The sequence below is a fragment of the Homo sapiens genome, chromosome 8, assembly GCF_000001405.40.
Source record: "Homo sapiens chromosome 8, GRCh38.p14 Primary Assembly".
In the NCBI taxonomy this organism is placed as follows: domain Eukaryota; kingdom Metazoa; phylum Chordata; class Mammalia; order Primates; family Hominidae; genus Homo; species Homo sapiens.
Window position 1 is genome coordinate 112,556,584 of NC_000008.11, and position 17,895 is coordinate 112,574,478.

General features: G+C 34.1%; 1 protein-coding gene and 1 non-coding gene across 10 annotated transcripts in view; both read right to left on the reverse strand.

Moving 5' to 3' along the window:
* The window catches only part of CSMD3 (CUB and Sushi multiple domains 3), a 1,214,012-nt gene that overhangs the window by 333,656 nt on the left and 862,461 nt on the right, over positions 1-17,895 (reverse strand). For all 9 annotated transcript variants that reach the window (NM_001363185.1, XM_017013010.2, NM_052900.3 and 6 more), the window contains 2 exons: positions 16,918-17,074; positions 180-371 (listed from right to left, as the gene is read on the reverse strand). In NM_001363185.1, the coding sequence (NP_001350114.1) occupies positions 180-371; positions 16,918-17,074 (349 nt within the window). The remainder of the gene's footprint in view (positions 1-179; positions 372-16,917; positions 17,075-17,895) is intronic.
* LOC124902087 (small nucleolar RNA U13) lies at positions 7,292-7,393 on the reverse strand. The gene has a single exon (XR_007061217.1). It is a non-coding gene; the product is annotated as a small nucleolar RNA U13 (small nucleolar RNA).

Sequence of the window (17,895 nt, forward strand, 5' to 3'; positions counted from 1 at the left end):
ATGAAAAGGACCTTTTCATTTTCCATTAATTTTCTTTTGACAAATTCAAGCTATGAGTTCATTAATTTCTCGATATAAAGTGTTAGTTCTATGAGGACAGAAAGAATTTCTTAAAAATGCAAAGAATTTGATAAAGTTTTCACAGAAATATTCAATGAAAATCTATGACAGTATCCTACCAATACAGGAAGGCAGAGGATAGTCCCATGCCCTTCTCTCCCCTGTCATGCACTTGAGAAGGCTACTTCCGTGGAGAGTGTAGCCTGGATTGCATCCATAAATGATGGTGCTACCAGCAAAGTGGCCTTGGTCACTGATCTTGTATCCAAATTGTGGAATGCCAGGATCTTCACAGTGTGAGAGTTCAAAACCTGGGACAAAAATATAAATTGATTAAAGGCAAAATTTAGGAGGAGGATTTAAATCTATACAAATCATTCCTTTCCTTTACTATTTTTGATGATTACATACTTATTCTTAGTCATATTGCCCTTACCATATTTAATTTTCGTATCATACAACAACCATGCAGACCTTTTTTTTTCTTGAAAATTAAAATGTGTTGTGTTTTTGAAGTTTATCAATGATACCCCATGGTCTATATAATTACCATGGCTTGTGGTACTAAGCTTCCTGTCTGCTTCAAGTGATTTAGAGTTAATAGTAGATTCTGAGTGATACCATGATATAACAACAAGTATATATTTGTTCTTTGTCCCTGATTCCTGGCACAGAGCTCCTAAAAGTCTTGGAATTTCTTGAGTGATAAGAGTGAGAGTACAGTTTTTGTTACTTATCATAAGCCATCCATACCTAAGTTTCTATAATGAAGTTGTTCCTGGAGGATGGGGGCTTATCGCCAGAGAAACCAACCATATGATTAGAAGGTTGTGTTGGAACTTTCAGTGCCGTCCCCATGGCCGGGTCATATACATACATCTCCGTGGAGGGGAGAAGGACTGAAGGTTGAGTCAATTACTGAGGAGCAATGATTTAATCAATTATGCCTATGTAATAAAATCTCCATAATAATCTTAGACAGAGGGGTTCTGAGAGTTTTCAGATTCATGAACACCTCCACATGCTAGAAGGGTGATATACCCCAAATCCCCACTCCATGGGGACAGAAGCTCCTGCACTTGGGACCCTTCTGGACCTCAGCTATGTACCTCTTCCTTTGGTAGCTCTTCGTTTGTATCCTTTATAATAAACCAATAAAGGTGAGTAAATGTTTCCCTGAGTTTTGTGAGCATTCTAGCAAATTATCAAACTCAAGGAGGAAGTTATGGGAAACCCCAATTTATAGCTCGTCAGTCAGAAATACAAGAGGCCTAGATTTTCAATTGGCATCTGAAGTGTGGGCATTCTTGTCGGATTGAGCCCCTAAACTGTGGGGTCTATATTAACTGCAAGTAGTGTTAGAATTGAATTGAATTACCAGACATCAAGTCGGTTTCAAGTGTTGGCGCTCAGAACAATATACTCCAAAGTATGGCACTTTGGCATGCTGAGTGCTTTGAATGAAAAGTGATTAGAAGGCCTCAGAAGCAAGGTCTCTCTGCCCTTCTTCTGCCCTTCTGCCACTTTCTCTCTCCCAAAGCTAGTCATACAAGCCAGAATTCTTCTTCCCCAAGATGCATCATAAAAACTAGAAAACCTCTCCCCCAAAGCGAGCCACAGAACCTAGAAAGGTCATTTTCTTCCTTCTCCCTTGAAAACCCTCATTCCATAGGGGTCCTGCCCCATACCCTGGAAAGGAAAGCTCCATAAAGAGGTCAAGAAGAATTTGAACAAACAGGCTTGCTGGGTTTCCCATTCTCAATCTATTACTGATAGATTATACCTTTTATGTCCAATTACATTTCTACGTAGCTGACCATTCATCACTGAACCGCAGCATAAAAACAGACAGTTTTTACGGGTTCTTTGGGTCTTTATTTCTGAAGGCTCCCATGTCATATAAAACCATGATCCAATAAATTTATTATGCTTTTCTCTTGTCAAATAGGAATATCAGCATGACACATATGAGGGTGACGAAAGGTATCACATCTTTCTATCCCTACACCAGAGAGCTGGATAATTGGTCGGTGCGAGGAAGAAACATACATATATGGCGTCAGAAGGGGTGTGAGCAGAGAATTGGGTTTTGCATTACTGATCAACATAACTATTAAGATCATATCATCAACATTTTAAAATTAAGACAAAATATGTGAAATAATAACTAGCCAAATGACAAATAATGTCAATTGCAAATATAACTGGACTGCTTTAGTTGTATAACCTTAGAAGAAAGTGAATACTCTCATATTTAAAATATACTTTATCAAGCTAATATACTAATCAGCTTGATGAACTCTAAATTTTTATATTCTACTTTCTCCGGAAAAAGCACAGTTCTTAGAAATTCTCACAGGAAAAAAAATAGAGGCTTCCCACGTGTTGTCATTCTGAGATGTAGAGATAATATTTCTGTGTTTCTACAGGGTTGGGGCTTTCTGAATGAATTTGCTAAAAACTGAGATCCTGGGCTAAGAGCGACACTTGAGAAGTTAATTTACAACTGTATGAATAGTGAGAAAACTCCAGAGAAATTTATGTAACTGTGAGGAAGGTTTATGTTTACATTTCAATGAAGAATGAGGCCCAGAAATTTACAGAAATCTCTAGGTTATAAAAGTTTGAGATATGGGAGATTAATATGTCCCTTAAATAGATATATTTACATTACAAAAGGTTAGAGTAAGAACACATGATCCTTTCCATCCAATCTCCAAGGAGCATAGGTTTTTCTCCCACCTTCCAGGAGAGGAGAGAGAGAAAGCAGCAGAATAAGCTCATTTGTTTTTCTTCCTTTGTCTATGAAGCCCCTGGCCACTTCTGTAGAAGATTTTTTCATTAGGTATTCATGGTGTTGCCCCCAGGAGTAAGGACTAGGTGAAAGGAGAGCTGACACAGACATCATCATCATCATTATATTACTTAATAAGAATCTATCTGCATCCTGAATACCTCATTTGCATATTCAAAGTAAAGTTAATAAAGGTGAATGCTAAAAATCCCAACAGTCTTAACACAACACAATTAAGATTCTGAAGGAACTGGAAAAGGACACTTCAAAAGATAAACCAAACCTGATATGAACAAATCAAAATCTAAGCTGCCGTAGCTATATAGTTTCTTCTGTTTTTAATATTTTGCAAAATATAAAAATGTAGGGTAAATGATGTAATAAATACACCAAGGACAATTAGGTGAAAACTTATATTAATTACAGCTTCTGAGGATAGAAAACCTTTAAGAATATTCTAGATAGTTTTATGAATAAGGAAAATCACTTAAGACAAAAATGCTGGAGAAAAAAAACTTTTACTTGTGTCCTAAATTATATGGTGATCAAAAAGAGATCTACATAACTTTTATAGGCATAGATTCTTGACCAAATTAATCTAGATTTGAATTAGAAAGCAAAAAAGTGTATATTAGCTCACTTGTGTCAAATCACTAATTTGCATCATTGACTTTCTAGATTGTCACAACATACATAAAGTCACAAGAACTTGTATAGTTCTAAGTACTAAGTTTATCCTATTATTTCTGTGAGTTGAGATAAACATTATCTCTCAGAGAACATTAGGAGTCTTTCCTAGTCTCTATTAAGGGGTCTTAATCACTTCCTCCTCTGTTAAATCATAGAATTATTTGTACCTTTGAATTCATTTGCAATGATTGTTTCTTTTCCTTGTTTTTGTATAGCTGAAATTCTTTCCTTTTTTCCCCTCCCTCTTTCTCACAGTACCTATCTAGCACAAATCCTGAGACAGGCTAGATGCTCAGTAATGCTCAGTAATGTTCATGATTGAATGTGGATTCTTAGAAACAATTATTTCTAGGAGACAACTGAAAAATAAAGTAATGCTGATAAGAAACTGAAATTTGAGAGACCATTTTTAAAAATAGTTTCAAGAATTTCCTGAATATCTCAATTTATGATAACCCCATTTGGGTGAACATGCAAACAGCATCAGAGACATAGCCATAAAGAGGTTAGCAGTCATTAACTCAAATCATGACATATATAATGAAATGCAATGAAAAAATAGTCAAACAGGTCAGTCTCTCAAACACAGAAGAAACAGCAGAAGTAGTACTTTAAAATTTCAGAACATATTACTTTGCATGGATCTGCATACTTAATACTACATTTAAACGTCTTTGCTCAAAAATTACAAGTTTGCATTTCTTCCAGCAGATATAATATTCAGTTTATCATTCAAGATGCAATGTATTTTGAGTTTTACCATATATCATTTCTCAAAATAAAAATGGAAATCAAGCTCTGTTTTCAAGGTTTATTGCCAAATTCATCCTTCCTTAATTTGAATTTTCTGTAAATGTGGTTGGGCATTGCTGGTGATGAGGTAAAATGGATATATTCTTTGTAAATTAAGACAATTTATAATATTTTGCATTGTAGCTGAAAATGCACATGGACAATAGTATATAAGCTACAAAGCACAACATAATTTTGTCCAAATTGGTGGAATTATTGTTGCTTATTCATAAATATGCAGAAATGTCTTATCTTTATGGAAACGTTCAGCTGCTAGTCTTTTCATTGAAAAGCTCAAATACTTGAAACTGACAATTAAATAAAGATGTGTATGAAAAACCGTATATGCTATAAATATTCAACACTGCTTGTGAAATTTTATACGCTGGTGAAATGAAAATTTCTAGAACAAAAATGAACTGATAATCCCCATTACCTAGATGTTTTTGATTTTCTGAATACCTTAAACTGAGATTTCATTCCTTTCCTGCCACCGTGTAGCATATTTCTCCAAAGATATCTAATATATTTGTAAGTTATTTGAAATCTACAAAAAAATATAAAGGATGACAACAAATTCAACCACTAGCTCTATCAGATTCTAGTTTTGTATCATAGTTGTGTCAGACTCAAATCAATGTTAATTCAGATTAATATTCAGATTACCATTCATATTAATTCATCTTCACGTTAATATTATTATTACAAAACAAGTTAAAGATTCTTTTGTACTCCTCCCCAGTCTTTCTCTGTTTCTTCCCTGAGAGCTAGCAAATATTCTAATTCAGTTTATTATTCTTGCACATATTTTTTATTACATATCTATACATCAATGAGCAATATATAGTGTTTTGCAAGTGTTCATACATTTTATAAATTATATAATGGTTTTAAAAATTCTGTGGCTTCATTTATTGCCTGGTATTGCGTTTTATCTTTATAATTATATACCCAGGCATGCACACATGCGCACACTCACACACACACAAACACATTGTATTCATTTTAACTACTCTGTGGTATTCCGTTGGTGACATATTCCCAAACTAATTGATTTTGCAGCATTTATATTGTTTCCAATTTTTTACTGCTATGAAAATGCTATACTTCTATGTCTCCTTTTGCACATGTACACGTGTTTTTATAGGGCATGCACTATTTAAAGATATAAAGTTCACTTTGTCCTCAAGATTCAACCAAAATCTCCTAATCAATTACTTAACTTCTGTCTTGGCTTACTAAAAGATAAATAGTAAAATTTTGACCTCAACATAATTTCTCTCAATTTGTTTATGAGTAACTATGTATTCACATAGGGTAATGTCATACCTTACTAGCAAAACACTACCAGTAATACAAATAATTTACATCATTTAAAAATAAAAGTGACATGTGAAAATTCATTTTTAAATGTAATAAAATATATTTTAAGTAACTTAAAAAGACTCTTACTTGCTTTATTTTTTTAATTCAGTTAAAACATAAATATATACTTTATAAGTTAAATTCCAGAGTATTTAACGGTCAATGAAGATATGTTAGTTTCATGTGCTAATAGTAAAAACTTCCAGATTGCTAAATAAAAAAAGAAATAGATTGTTAAAAAGGAAATTGGGAAAGTATGTTAGCTAAATACATTAGAGAAATATGCTTGCCAAAACCATATATATTAATAAAAGTTGATATAATGCAAGGAGACATGAATATTATATTATTATGCAATAATTTTAACCTCTATAGAATTGTTGGTGAACTTAATTCATAATATTAGGCAGAATAATTTGGGGGAACTATATTTAATATTTGGTGATTAAATTCCATTTTGGCCATGAGTCTTGCAAGAAAACATCCTATTTTAAAATTCTTTATATTTAAGTGAAGACCTCTTCATTTATATCAACTTTTATATCAACTTCATTATATCAACTTTTATTAACATATATGGCAAGCATATTTCTCTAACGTATTTAGCTAACATACTTTCCCAATTTCCTTTTTAACAATCTATTTCTTTTTGTATTTAGCAATTTGGAAGTTTTTACTATTGCCACATAAAACTAACATATCTTCATTGACCATTAAATACTCTGGAATTTAACTATAAAGCAGAATGTCAACTGTGCCACCTCAGAATTCACGAACAGGGAATACTTCAAGATAACAAACAACAGCTGCAATAATCCTCTGTGATTGAGATATAATAAAGAATATAAAGGGAATAAAGAAAAAAAGAAAATGGTGAAGAAGAGTTATACTCTTTTTCTCATTAATAGAACTAATAAAAACAAATTTGACACAACATGTATTTCTCACTAATCAAACTATACAAAAATCAAACTTTAAAGCTACAACTTTAGAAGAATGCTTTAAGAAGACAATCCCTTCCAGTTTTTAGTTTATGGAAATTAAGAATTTAAGCAAAAAAAGCTTGTGGAAATTATTACTATGCATTTCCAATTGCTTTCAGGAGTTAAGATAAAAGGATCTTTTTTTTTTTTAATGGCAGATGCTTTCATTCCTACATATAAAGTTCTTACTAGAAAATACATTACTGACAGACTTTCCTAAATTTTAATCTGTTAGACATAATCTAGTAAGTAATATTAAACGGGCTAAGTTTGTATCCTGTACATCATAGATTTGTACCACATTCTAGGTTGGTGATGTTCATCTTTGACTGAATATTAACTTGGTCAAAACCAATCAGCATTGGGCATTTGGCCTAAATGTATAGTTGGTGTAATCTAAATATATCCAGAAATTGAATTTTATTAGATATTGCCAAATTAATCTTCTAGGTGACTACCAATTTACATTCCCCAAAGTTTATAAGTTTCAATTTCTGCAAATTGTCATCAGTACTTGGTGTTGTACAGCTTTCTAACTTGTATTTACTCTGTGAGGGTGTCATAGCATCTTATTTGGGTTTCCATTTTCATTTCTTTTTTCTTTCCATGTCCGATGGGTAATGTGCAGACGTTGTAACAAGGTTTGAGGAAGGCACATCTCACACAAGTGTGAAAACCTAATCATCACACTTTTAAACTAAAAAAGAATTGAGGAAGGCACAGCTCACACGAGTGTGAAAACCTAATCACCACACTTTTAAACTAAAAAAGAATTTTTCATTTCTTAATACCTATCAAGTTAAGCATTTTTTTATTCTGCTGAACTTCCCTCTACTGTGAAATTGGTTTTGGCCCATGTTTTTGTTTTAGGTTATTTTTTTTTTTTCTTATTGACTTGTAGGATTTCTTTTTTCTAGAGAGTGCATGTTTTCCATTATATAAATACCTCCTTTTAAAATGTTTCACTTCTGTTTACAGTGTCCCTTTCTATAGGGAGGTTTTCTTGGCCCTTTCCTTTCCTTCTTCCTTTCCTTCTTCCTCTCCTTCCTTCTTCCCTTCCTTCTCCCCTCCCTTCTCCCCTCCTTTCTCCCCTCCCTTCTCCCTTCCCCTCCCCTTCCCTCTCTTCTCCTCTCCTCTCCTCTCCTTTCCATTCCTTTCTTTTTTTCCGGGACTTGGTCGGGAAAACAGAAGCCTCTTATGTACTGTGTGTAGCTAAGATTCAAAACAAGAAATTTGAGGCCTTGATGATTTTGGAAATGCAAAGTGTGTGAAAGTCAGAAGACCACTGCTGGCTTTCAGGAAATTCAGCAGTTCAGGGAAACTGCTGCCACATCCAACAACCTGACAGCACCATACTCCTGCCTGTAGCTGCTGGTGGAAAATAATGGCTTCTCCATCGATCTCACCTTTCAGCTCTCACAGGTCTGCCTTTAATTGGCAGAATCTAAGCAGAGATATTTGTTGGCAAGAGAATCTGAAAAATGTAGTTGCCAGATTTTTGGTTTCTACACTTCAAGGAGTGCTTAGAAGGTCAGAAATGCTACTGATTATTGATGAATTTTTGCTTGTGTATCTTATTTCAGAAATCTTCTTCTACCTTAAAGACACAGCTTTTCTAAGCCACACTTTTATTTTCTAAACATTTTAAAGTTTTGATATTTACATTTAGGTCTTCAACTTGCCAGAAATTAATTGTATGTAACATGTAAATTAGCAGGTCCTTAGATATGTAAGTTTAAATTTACTAAACTTCTATGATGTGAAGGCTATGAAAATAATGATACTTTTATTATTCTAGTATGAAGAAATTTAATATTGTCTATGTAAATGACAGTTAATTAAGAAATTTTTCTTTAGTATTTCAGTTAGAATACTTTGGACTATATCACGCAGCATTGATCAATACCTCCCTTATCACCCAGTTTATTTTGATATTTTAAAAATGTAAGAAATGTCAAATGTATCTGCTAACTGGTTTGTAGGACATAGAACCACATGGAGGGGCTTTGTTGCTCCCTTGTAATTTACTTATTTTCTACTTGCATTTGCATTAAATGAGTTATATAGTAAGAATAAAGGTAGAGTTAATAAGTCATCTGATAATTTTTTACGATTTACATTGCCAACAACAAACCGGTAACTAAATTAAAGACTAATTTATTGTATATTCACAAGGCTAGTATGCAAGAAAAAGCATCACAAATTAGTTAATGCCCATCTTTAATTTGAATATAAAATTTGAAATGGCCATGCTCCATGTAGATTATTAAATGATTTCAAGCAACAAAACTGGAAGGCTGAGAACATCCAAATATATTTACAGTTTTCTCTTGGGATAATGAACATTTCTCCAGTGGGATTTTTTGTAAATTAAATGTGCAGAGGAGATAATAAGAAAACATCTGAGCCCAGAGTACTGACTAATGGCTGGGCAACATGCATATTTAGCAGGTCAGCTTTTGATAAGACAATAGTATAATCCATCAATAAGTTGCAATTTGGCTCTGTAATAGATGGCTGTTAAAAATACTCAATTCCTTTTTACAAAATAAAAGTAGTATAACTACAAGTATATAGGGCTAAAAGAATCTGTAATTAAATAATCTTCAACAAATAGAGTTTAGAGATTTCATGAACAATATGAATGATAGCAGGAATAAGTCTTTCCCCGATAGTAAATGTAACAAAAATAAAAAAAAATTCAGATTCTCAAAAATAAAATGACAAAAGTTTCTTTGGGAAGAATTGCACTAACATTATTTCTCTCTCTCTCTTTTTTTTTTTTTTACTCTTACCTGGACAGTTTTAAAAATACATTAAATCTATAAAACTTGAAATATATATAAATATATAACACTTCAAATCTATAAAACTTGAAAAACTCAAATCTTGAGTTCAGAGCTAGTATAGCATAGTGGTTAGAGACATGGATTCTAGAGGCAAAGACTCTCAGTTCAATTTCCATGTCTGCACTTGTTAGCTATGTGACCTTGGGTGAGTAAGGTAACTTTGCTATGCTTTTTATTTCCTCATTTTCTCCCTGGGAATAATAATATTATCTCCCTCTTTGGGTTATGCCTTGCATCTGGTAGGTGGTAGATAAATGTTAGCTGTTGTTATTTGTAATTCTTATATTGAACATTATGATAATGACCAAAGTCTCTATGTGCCTTTTAAATAAAATCCAAGCCCGTACTATACTCCACCTTGCCCCTAATGATATAGGAGTTAAGAAATTATTTAGGCAGATAGTGAGGGTATGGGAATTCTTGGTAAGTTTTTCCTTTTAATGAAAAGCGGCCACCAAATCATTTTCTTTTCTAACAAAGAGCAGCTTATAAAATCAAGCTGCAAACATAGACAAGCAAGCTGGACACTTACATGGGTGAATGCTGGCAGTTGTGCCAATAGAAAAAGGCTATTTGGGACTAGGCATGTTCAAAATGGTGGCTCCTTCTTCTCTTCTCTTTGCCAGCCATGCATACAGTAAGGAGAAGGCAACATGGTGCAGGCCAGGCAAAGACCCCATTTGCAAAATAAGATTAGGGTGGGGCAGCCAGCTTCTGGTGTGTTATGTAAATGTCATACCTGGTTCAACTAATCTTTTGGACCTATGAAAATCAGACACCACCTCATAAGCCTGTCTATAAAATCTGGTGTACTCTGCTATGGGCTGGAAGTCCCATTTGGGAACCCCTCTCTCTCACAAGAAAGAGAGCTGTTCTCTTTGCTCTTTCTTTTGGCTATTAAACCTCTGCTCCTAAACCCACTTCTTGTGTCTTTGACCTAGATTCCCTTGGCATGAGATGATGAACCCCGGTTATTTGCTACTGCTAGTTTCCAACTTTATCACTCATTTTGTCTCATTCTCCTTGCTCATTTAGCTACAGGCATATAACTCAAGCTCAGACTTCTTTTAGGCCTTCGCACTTGCTACTCCCTCTGCCTAGAACCCTTTGCCTGTATGTGATTATTCTTTCTTATCACTCAGGTATCAACTCAGATAACATCTCCTTTAAGATGGAGTCTGAACAAATTAGCTAAAGTGGTCTCATCTGTACTATCTATCCCATTGCCCTGTTTTAAATTACTTCTAAATGTAGTTCTCTTACCTTTTGTTCATAACTTTCTTTTATGTCTTGCCCCACTAAAAAGTTAGTTTGTTATGGGCAGGAACTTTCTCTTATTAATTGTTCTCTATATTTTCAATATATAATATTCCACTGGGAAAAGACAAAATTTAAGCCTATGACCAGATTAATAATTTCAATAATAAATAAATTAGTAAATTTCAATAGAAGAGTAAAAGGGAAGATATGCCAGGTGACCAAGTAGAAATGATATCTCTATAACTTAGCCTTTAGAGAGAGAGTAAAATACACCAGATTTAGAAATCATTCTTGAAATGTGTGTTGAGAGGTTGAAGGGATCTGGGCAGAATAACCTACTGGGTTTTGCTGAATTCTGCTATAGGATTATGGAGAACAGAGTGATGTTTTAGGAAGGATACTGTATTGTGATCTCAATTTCTGATCTGTTTCCCAACTCTAGAAGGAAGTAGTAATTTTCTCTTACCCTACTCCCTGTTCTCTCTCAGAAGAACAGGTATGCCTTTATTGGTTCCTCCTCACAGGGAAATTAACAAGTAACTTGTGTCGCGTAAAGTACCTGACATTATGTCTCATTCGGATATTTATTTGGGATGAGTTTCAGATTTCTCAAAAGCAAGAGTAAATGACAGTAATTGTTTTGAGAATAATGAGGAAGATTAGCCTGACTCAATAAGGGAGTTGGATTCTGGGAGGTTTGAGGGATGGAAGAGCAGTGAAATCCCCTAGAGGTCATAAATATCTAAGTGTATCTCACACATGTTTTATATTCAACAGTATAGCTGTCCACACTTTAATTGTCAGATCAAACCAGAGTTGACTGAGAAATTTATTTGGGAGAAGAATATTTCCCCAAAAAGACTACATGAGATTTTTCTTGACAACGCTAAAGATGAAGACTGAACAGATTTAATTTGCTTTAGAAAAAGGAATGGGGCTGGCATGGTGGCTCACACCTGTAATCCCAGCATTTTGGGAGGCCAAGGCAGGTGGATCATTGGAGGTCAGGAGTTCGAGACCAGCCTGGCCAATATGGCAAAACCCTGTCTCTATTAAAAATACAAAAAAATTAGCCAGGCATGGTGGTGGGCGCCTGTAATCCTAGCTACTTAAGAGGCTGAGGCAGGAGAATTGCTCGAACCCAGAAGACAGAGATTCCAGCCTGGGCGACAGAGCAAGGCACTGAAAAAAAAAAAAGAAAAGAAAAGAAAAAAGAAAAAGAAAAAGGAATGGGATATTTTCTCCCTGTCTAGTGTGGTATGGTATTTTCATACTAGGTATGCATATAATTTATTTGTTGGTGGAAGAAGGTGAGAGAAGCTCACAGTCTTCTTAGCATAGTAGAGCTAAAAATATTAATCATGAGTCAGCCAAATACTTTTCCTTTATAAACACCCAAGAGTTTCTGGGCTTCCATGACACCATTAATCATAGAAGCAGATATTAGTTCAGTATCTTTAACCTAATTTTTTTAATATTCGTGACAGCTGTACATTGTAGTAAATACTGTAAGTTGTCTTCTCAATATCTCCCTTCTTCCTTGCTAACAACTCTGATTTTGTTCCCAGCTATAATCTAACGATATACAGCAGTGAATCATGATGGTCTAAAGTTAAACCAATTATTTAGTCTTCCACATACTGAATATTCCAGGCTGCTTTGCTGGAAAATTAAGGCAGAACCATATGGTCCAGTTTAGGATAGAGACATAAGAGGGTATCTTACAGGGATTCCCAGGAAAGATTTTGTATTTCTGATAAAAGGAGTATATGCGGTTGGCACTGCCCATTTTTTCCTTTCTTCATGCCTTAAACATGCCCATAGTTACAGTAGCCAACTTGTGACCATGTCACCACAAACATGAAAATAAAAAGTGAACCCTCTAGGCATGCCACAGCAGAAAGACAGGAGCAAAATCCTTGTTGATCTTGTTAAGTAGTTGAATCAAGATCTACCTACTTTCTCACTCTTCACTTTTTCTTATATGAACAAAATAAACCCTGATTGTTTAGGCCATGGTAAGGTTTTCCATTAGTTAAAGCCAAAAGCAACATTTAAGTCACTGTGTCTACCAGGCCATTTACTATACTTAGCAATTACATAATAAATGGACCAATAAGATAATTGAAATAAAACGCACTTTAAAGGTCTGTTCTAACATACTTTTTTCATTTTATCTCAGCCAAATGCAGTTTTATCTACCCAAAACTGAAAATAATCAGACAATGGCAAGTGTTGCTAACTCAACAAAATAGATAATGGAATACAGGGTGACTATCATTAAATAGGGCAGGTATCATTTGATAGGATGGCCAAAAACAGCCTGCTTGTTCTCCCACTAGAAATTGTGAGAAGCATCAAGATACGTGGGATTAATCTGAATTAGATTATTTTCCTTGAATGTTCTTCCTAATCTCTGTGTCTTTCCTCATTCCTTTCTCTTTGCCTGTAATACTTCCCACAATTATTTTTCTGTGAACCACCAACCTGACCTTTAATACGCCCTCCTTTATGAAGTCTTACCTGATCCTCCCTAGACAAATGTTCTCGCTCCTGTTCTGATTCTGTCAATGTGAGTACTGTGACCTCCTCTGCAATACCTATGATTCTCTCTGTTAGATATTTCAGAAATGAAACTGGAATCATTGTAAGGGAAATGTACCACAGAATGGACAGGGTTAGAGTTGGCCTTAGGAATAACTGGATATGAGGATTTAAACACGAAATCCTGATGCACATTCTATCACGTTCAGGAATTGAATAATTACTGCTTCCAAGAATTTTGTGAATATTTAAAATATGTGGCTTAGTAGAACTGTTTTACTATCATGAAAGCATTTTATAAAATTCATATTCAGATGACATCTTAATTCATCAAGAGTATGTAAAAAGATACAATTGAACTAAATGGACTAAAGATGCTATGAAGGAAAATAGCGTGTTGAAGAACGATGCACATATGTTCGCAAACAAGTATAACCACAATGCAATGTGATAACGGTTATATTAGTTGCATATATAAACTACCACAAAAGAAACATTGAAACGTCTGTTAATTCCAGCTGATAGAATCAGGATAAGCATTCATGAATAAATATTTGAGATGGATCTTGAAGGTTAATTGGTATCCAAAGTCAGTAGGACATGCACAAAATAGAAAGTAGCCTGGGCACAGGTGCTATGGTTGGAAAACAAATAGTATATACTTGGAGGATGGGAACAAACTTCTTTTAAAGCTAGGAAATCTGTGGGTAACTATTTAGATAGTTGCAGATATGCAGAAGAATTGCCACTGTAAAAATAAGAAGTAATATTTAGGAACAAATACACTTAAAAACAGATGCATCACTATTTCTAAAGCCCTTTCCGAGAGAATACAGCTCAGAACCCAGCTGTTGGTTCACAAAATTGTCTACTGATATGCCAAGATACCTTGGAAGTAGGCTATAAACATTTTGTTTACAGATATGATATGGAAATTTTTAGTTTTATCTCTAAGACTAAAAAATATTTATAAATGTATGTTTTCCCTTTTTAAGAATGACAGCTTTATACTCTCTTCCCACTTCTGTAGTTTCCAGTCTCCATAAACATACATTTCCTTTAATGGACAATTATTAATTTTTATTTTATTTTATTTATTATTTTGAGACGGAGTTTCACTCTTGTTGCCTAGGCTGGAGTGCAATGGCGCAATCTTGGCTCACTGCAACCTCTCCCTCCCAGGTTCAAGCGGTTCTCCTGCCTCACCCTCCCTAGTAGCTGGGATTACAGGCATGTGCCACCACGCCCAGCTAATTTTGTATTTTTAGTAGAGACGGGGTTTCTTCATGTTGGTCAGGCTGGTCTCAGACTCCCGACCTCAGGTGATCTGCCTGCCTCAGCCTCCCAAAGTGCTGGGATTACAGGCGTGAGCCACCAAGCCCAGCCAATTAATTGTTAATTAAGAAAAGAAATGTGACTTCAAATATTTGCTAATTAAAATATCTTTTTAAAAAAATTCTACAGTTCACACTAATGACAATAAAGTCAATGATCTTACTCATTCCAGTCACCTGAGCACCCCATAAAATTTCAAATATAGGTATGCCCTACAATGGCTACTATTTTGCATCAGTAACCTCAAGTTACATAGATATTATGTATCAAAACAAAAAAATCCAGGTTTCTTCTGTGAAACCCACAAATATTTCAGACAAGCAGAAATGCAGGCTGGGCATGGTGGCTAATGCCTGTAATCCCAGCACTTTGCGAGGCCTAGGTGGGAGGATCGCCTGAGGTCAGGAGTTCAACACCAGACTGGCCAACATGGTGAAACACCATCTCTACTAAAAATACAAAAATTAGCCAGGCATGGTGGCGGGTGCCTGTAATCCCAGCTACTAGGGAGGCTGAAGCAGGAGAATTGCTTGAACCTGGGAGGGAGAGGTTGCAGTAAGCAAAGATCGCGCCATTGCACTCCGGCCTGGGCAACAAGACTGAAACTCTGTCTCAAATAAAAAAAAAAAAAAGAAAGAAAGAAAGAAAGAAAATAAAAGAAATGCAACATGATGCAGAACAAAAACCATTACGTAAACATTGTGTCATGCATTTCAATATTACTTCAAAATCATCAGTGGCCCTTTTAGAAAACAGAGAAAGAGAAAGAGGACAGCATATTTAAAAAAAAAAAAGTTTGCCCATCTGAGCAGATCACACCAATTATATTTGAGCAATAGTATATTGCTCAATATCATTACTCAATATCATTACTCAATATCATTACAATATTGATATTGCTCAATATCATTACTTTTAGTCCATCACATAACAATACTTGTAAACACAATTTGTCTGGACTATTATTTTTCCTTAGGAAGACTCATAAGAAATCACATTGTACACACAGTTCTGAGAATTTAAAAATATGTATTCAGCATTCATTTTGTTAATTTATGTTTAGTTAATGTTAGTGATGTAAAAATTTTAACAGGTAGAAAGAAAAGCACTGAAATAAATAGATAATCTCAGTATTATGGACAAAAATGTTTTCATACAATGAGTCATTGTATTCTCTTGTCTACTATTTCTTATACCATTAAGATAGACTCTTTACACAAATTATAATTTGATTCAAATTCCCTTTAAGATCCTATATGATTATCTTTGATACTGTAACCTTTTTAACTTCTTAGTTTCTATAATAATTTCCATTCATCTGACTTCTTGAGAAAATTTATAGGAGTCAGTAAATTTTGTCAAGCATTCTAGCAATAAAGATTTCTGAGTATTGCTACTTATTTTACTATACAACATTAATGAGTGCTCTGACCTTCCAAGAATCAATTTGATCTGACAGATTGTAAATTTATCAAATACATAGGAAGTAACACCTGTTTTACTCGCACTTTAATTTATTAGCAAAGAATCCTGAACGGAGTAGAAAATCAAGAAATATATTATTTGAATAGAATTTATTTTTCATTGGTGTAACTAGTCTGTTTCTTATATAACGGTACTAGTAAAACACATCCATTTAATTCATATAACAATTGATGAAACCCACCCTACCCCTGGTTCTTAGTGTTTGAACTTCAACTTATTTAAATAGTCAAAATAGCTGACTTTAACATAATGAGATAATAGAACTGTGAGAAAGTATTTGTTATAAAACAAGTCAACACAAAAGCAGAACAAACTAAAAGCTTTAGTTACTCTTTAGTGTGAAACAACCTGAAGTCTTTTAGTTATCATTTATAACTGACCAATAATAATCATTGCATCTTTGCAGTTCAAGATGAGAGTTCAAACATTGGATTTCCATCTAACAAAAGTTTCATTGTATTTCTTAAATACTGGATGAATAGAATCCTGCTACTTAAAACTACCTAAGTAAATAAACCCGAAGTCAAAAATTACTTAACCTCTGTAAAACAAACTGAGTCGTTTCAACTGTAAAATGGCAATAGCTAAAATACCTGTAACTTACCGGGCTGTTGTTAGGGTCAAATAAAATTATATATGTAGAAAGGAGCTGTAAATTAATAATCAAATATTGGATATCATTTCAATTTGTGCAATGTAATTATTTAATATACATGCAGCACCCCAGTGTTTGGCCATTTTACTCTTCTAAAATACTTACTGGTATACACAAGTTGAAAGCCTTCATCTGTCCCTTCAGTATCGGAATTAAATTCTAGCCAGAGTTGATTTGAAGTACTACTAAGTGTCAGTCCGCGCATAGATGCACCAGTAAAAGCACCTAGTAGATGAGTCGTTTTATCTTTTCCATCATAAATCTGCAAAATATATTTATAATTAAAATGTAAATGTGCCAATAATAATCAATTCAGAGCATGTATTTGTATCTATGAAAAAGAGAAAAGTGTACTTTTTCTAAATCAGATCAGTACATTTCCAAAGGGCAACTAAATATATTGGTTTCTATGAACACAAGGTTAAGGAAGTTAGAATTCACATGTATAATTTTAAAATTCCAAGCTTAGTGTACTTTAAGTAATACTTGAATCAGGTGATATAGCTTCTTTTCTTATTATTTTAAAAATGCTTTTTCTGGGAGACAATTTAAAATTAAGAATACCTACCTAAAGATTGGTTTCTAAAGTTGGTTACTTGGTTACTTGGCTGTTTCTCTGCAACTTTCTCAAGATCAAACATTTACTTTTCCAACAACATGACTAACATAAAATATATTTGTGTCTGGTGCAATTGTAACTTTTCCATGCTCTTTAACTTGTTTCATATTTGACATTTTTAAAATATTAAATTAAAGGAGGTCTAAATGCTTTTAGAAACTAATTTAATAAAGCAAAAATACACAAAAATGAAACTGATAAGCTCCCACACATCATTCTCATTTTTCTGAAAGTATAACTGCTTATTGCACTCTAATTTGTTTTTCTTTTATCATTATAGACATCTCTTCAGGTCAGTAATATAGATTCTTCTGTTTGAGAGATGTATGGTGACTCCATCATAACTTGCTCTACCGTTCCCGTATTAATGAACTCAAGTTTTTGCCACTACAAGTAATGCTGATATAAACACTCTTTTACGTGTAACCTCATGTTTTTTGGTACTTGTACTTCAGCAAAAAAGT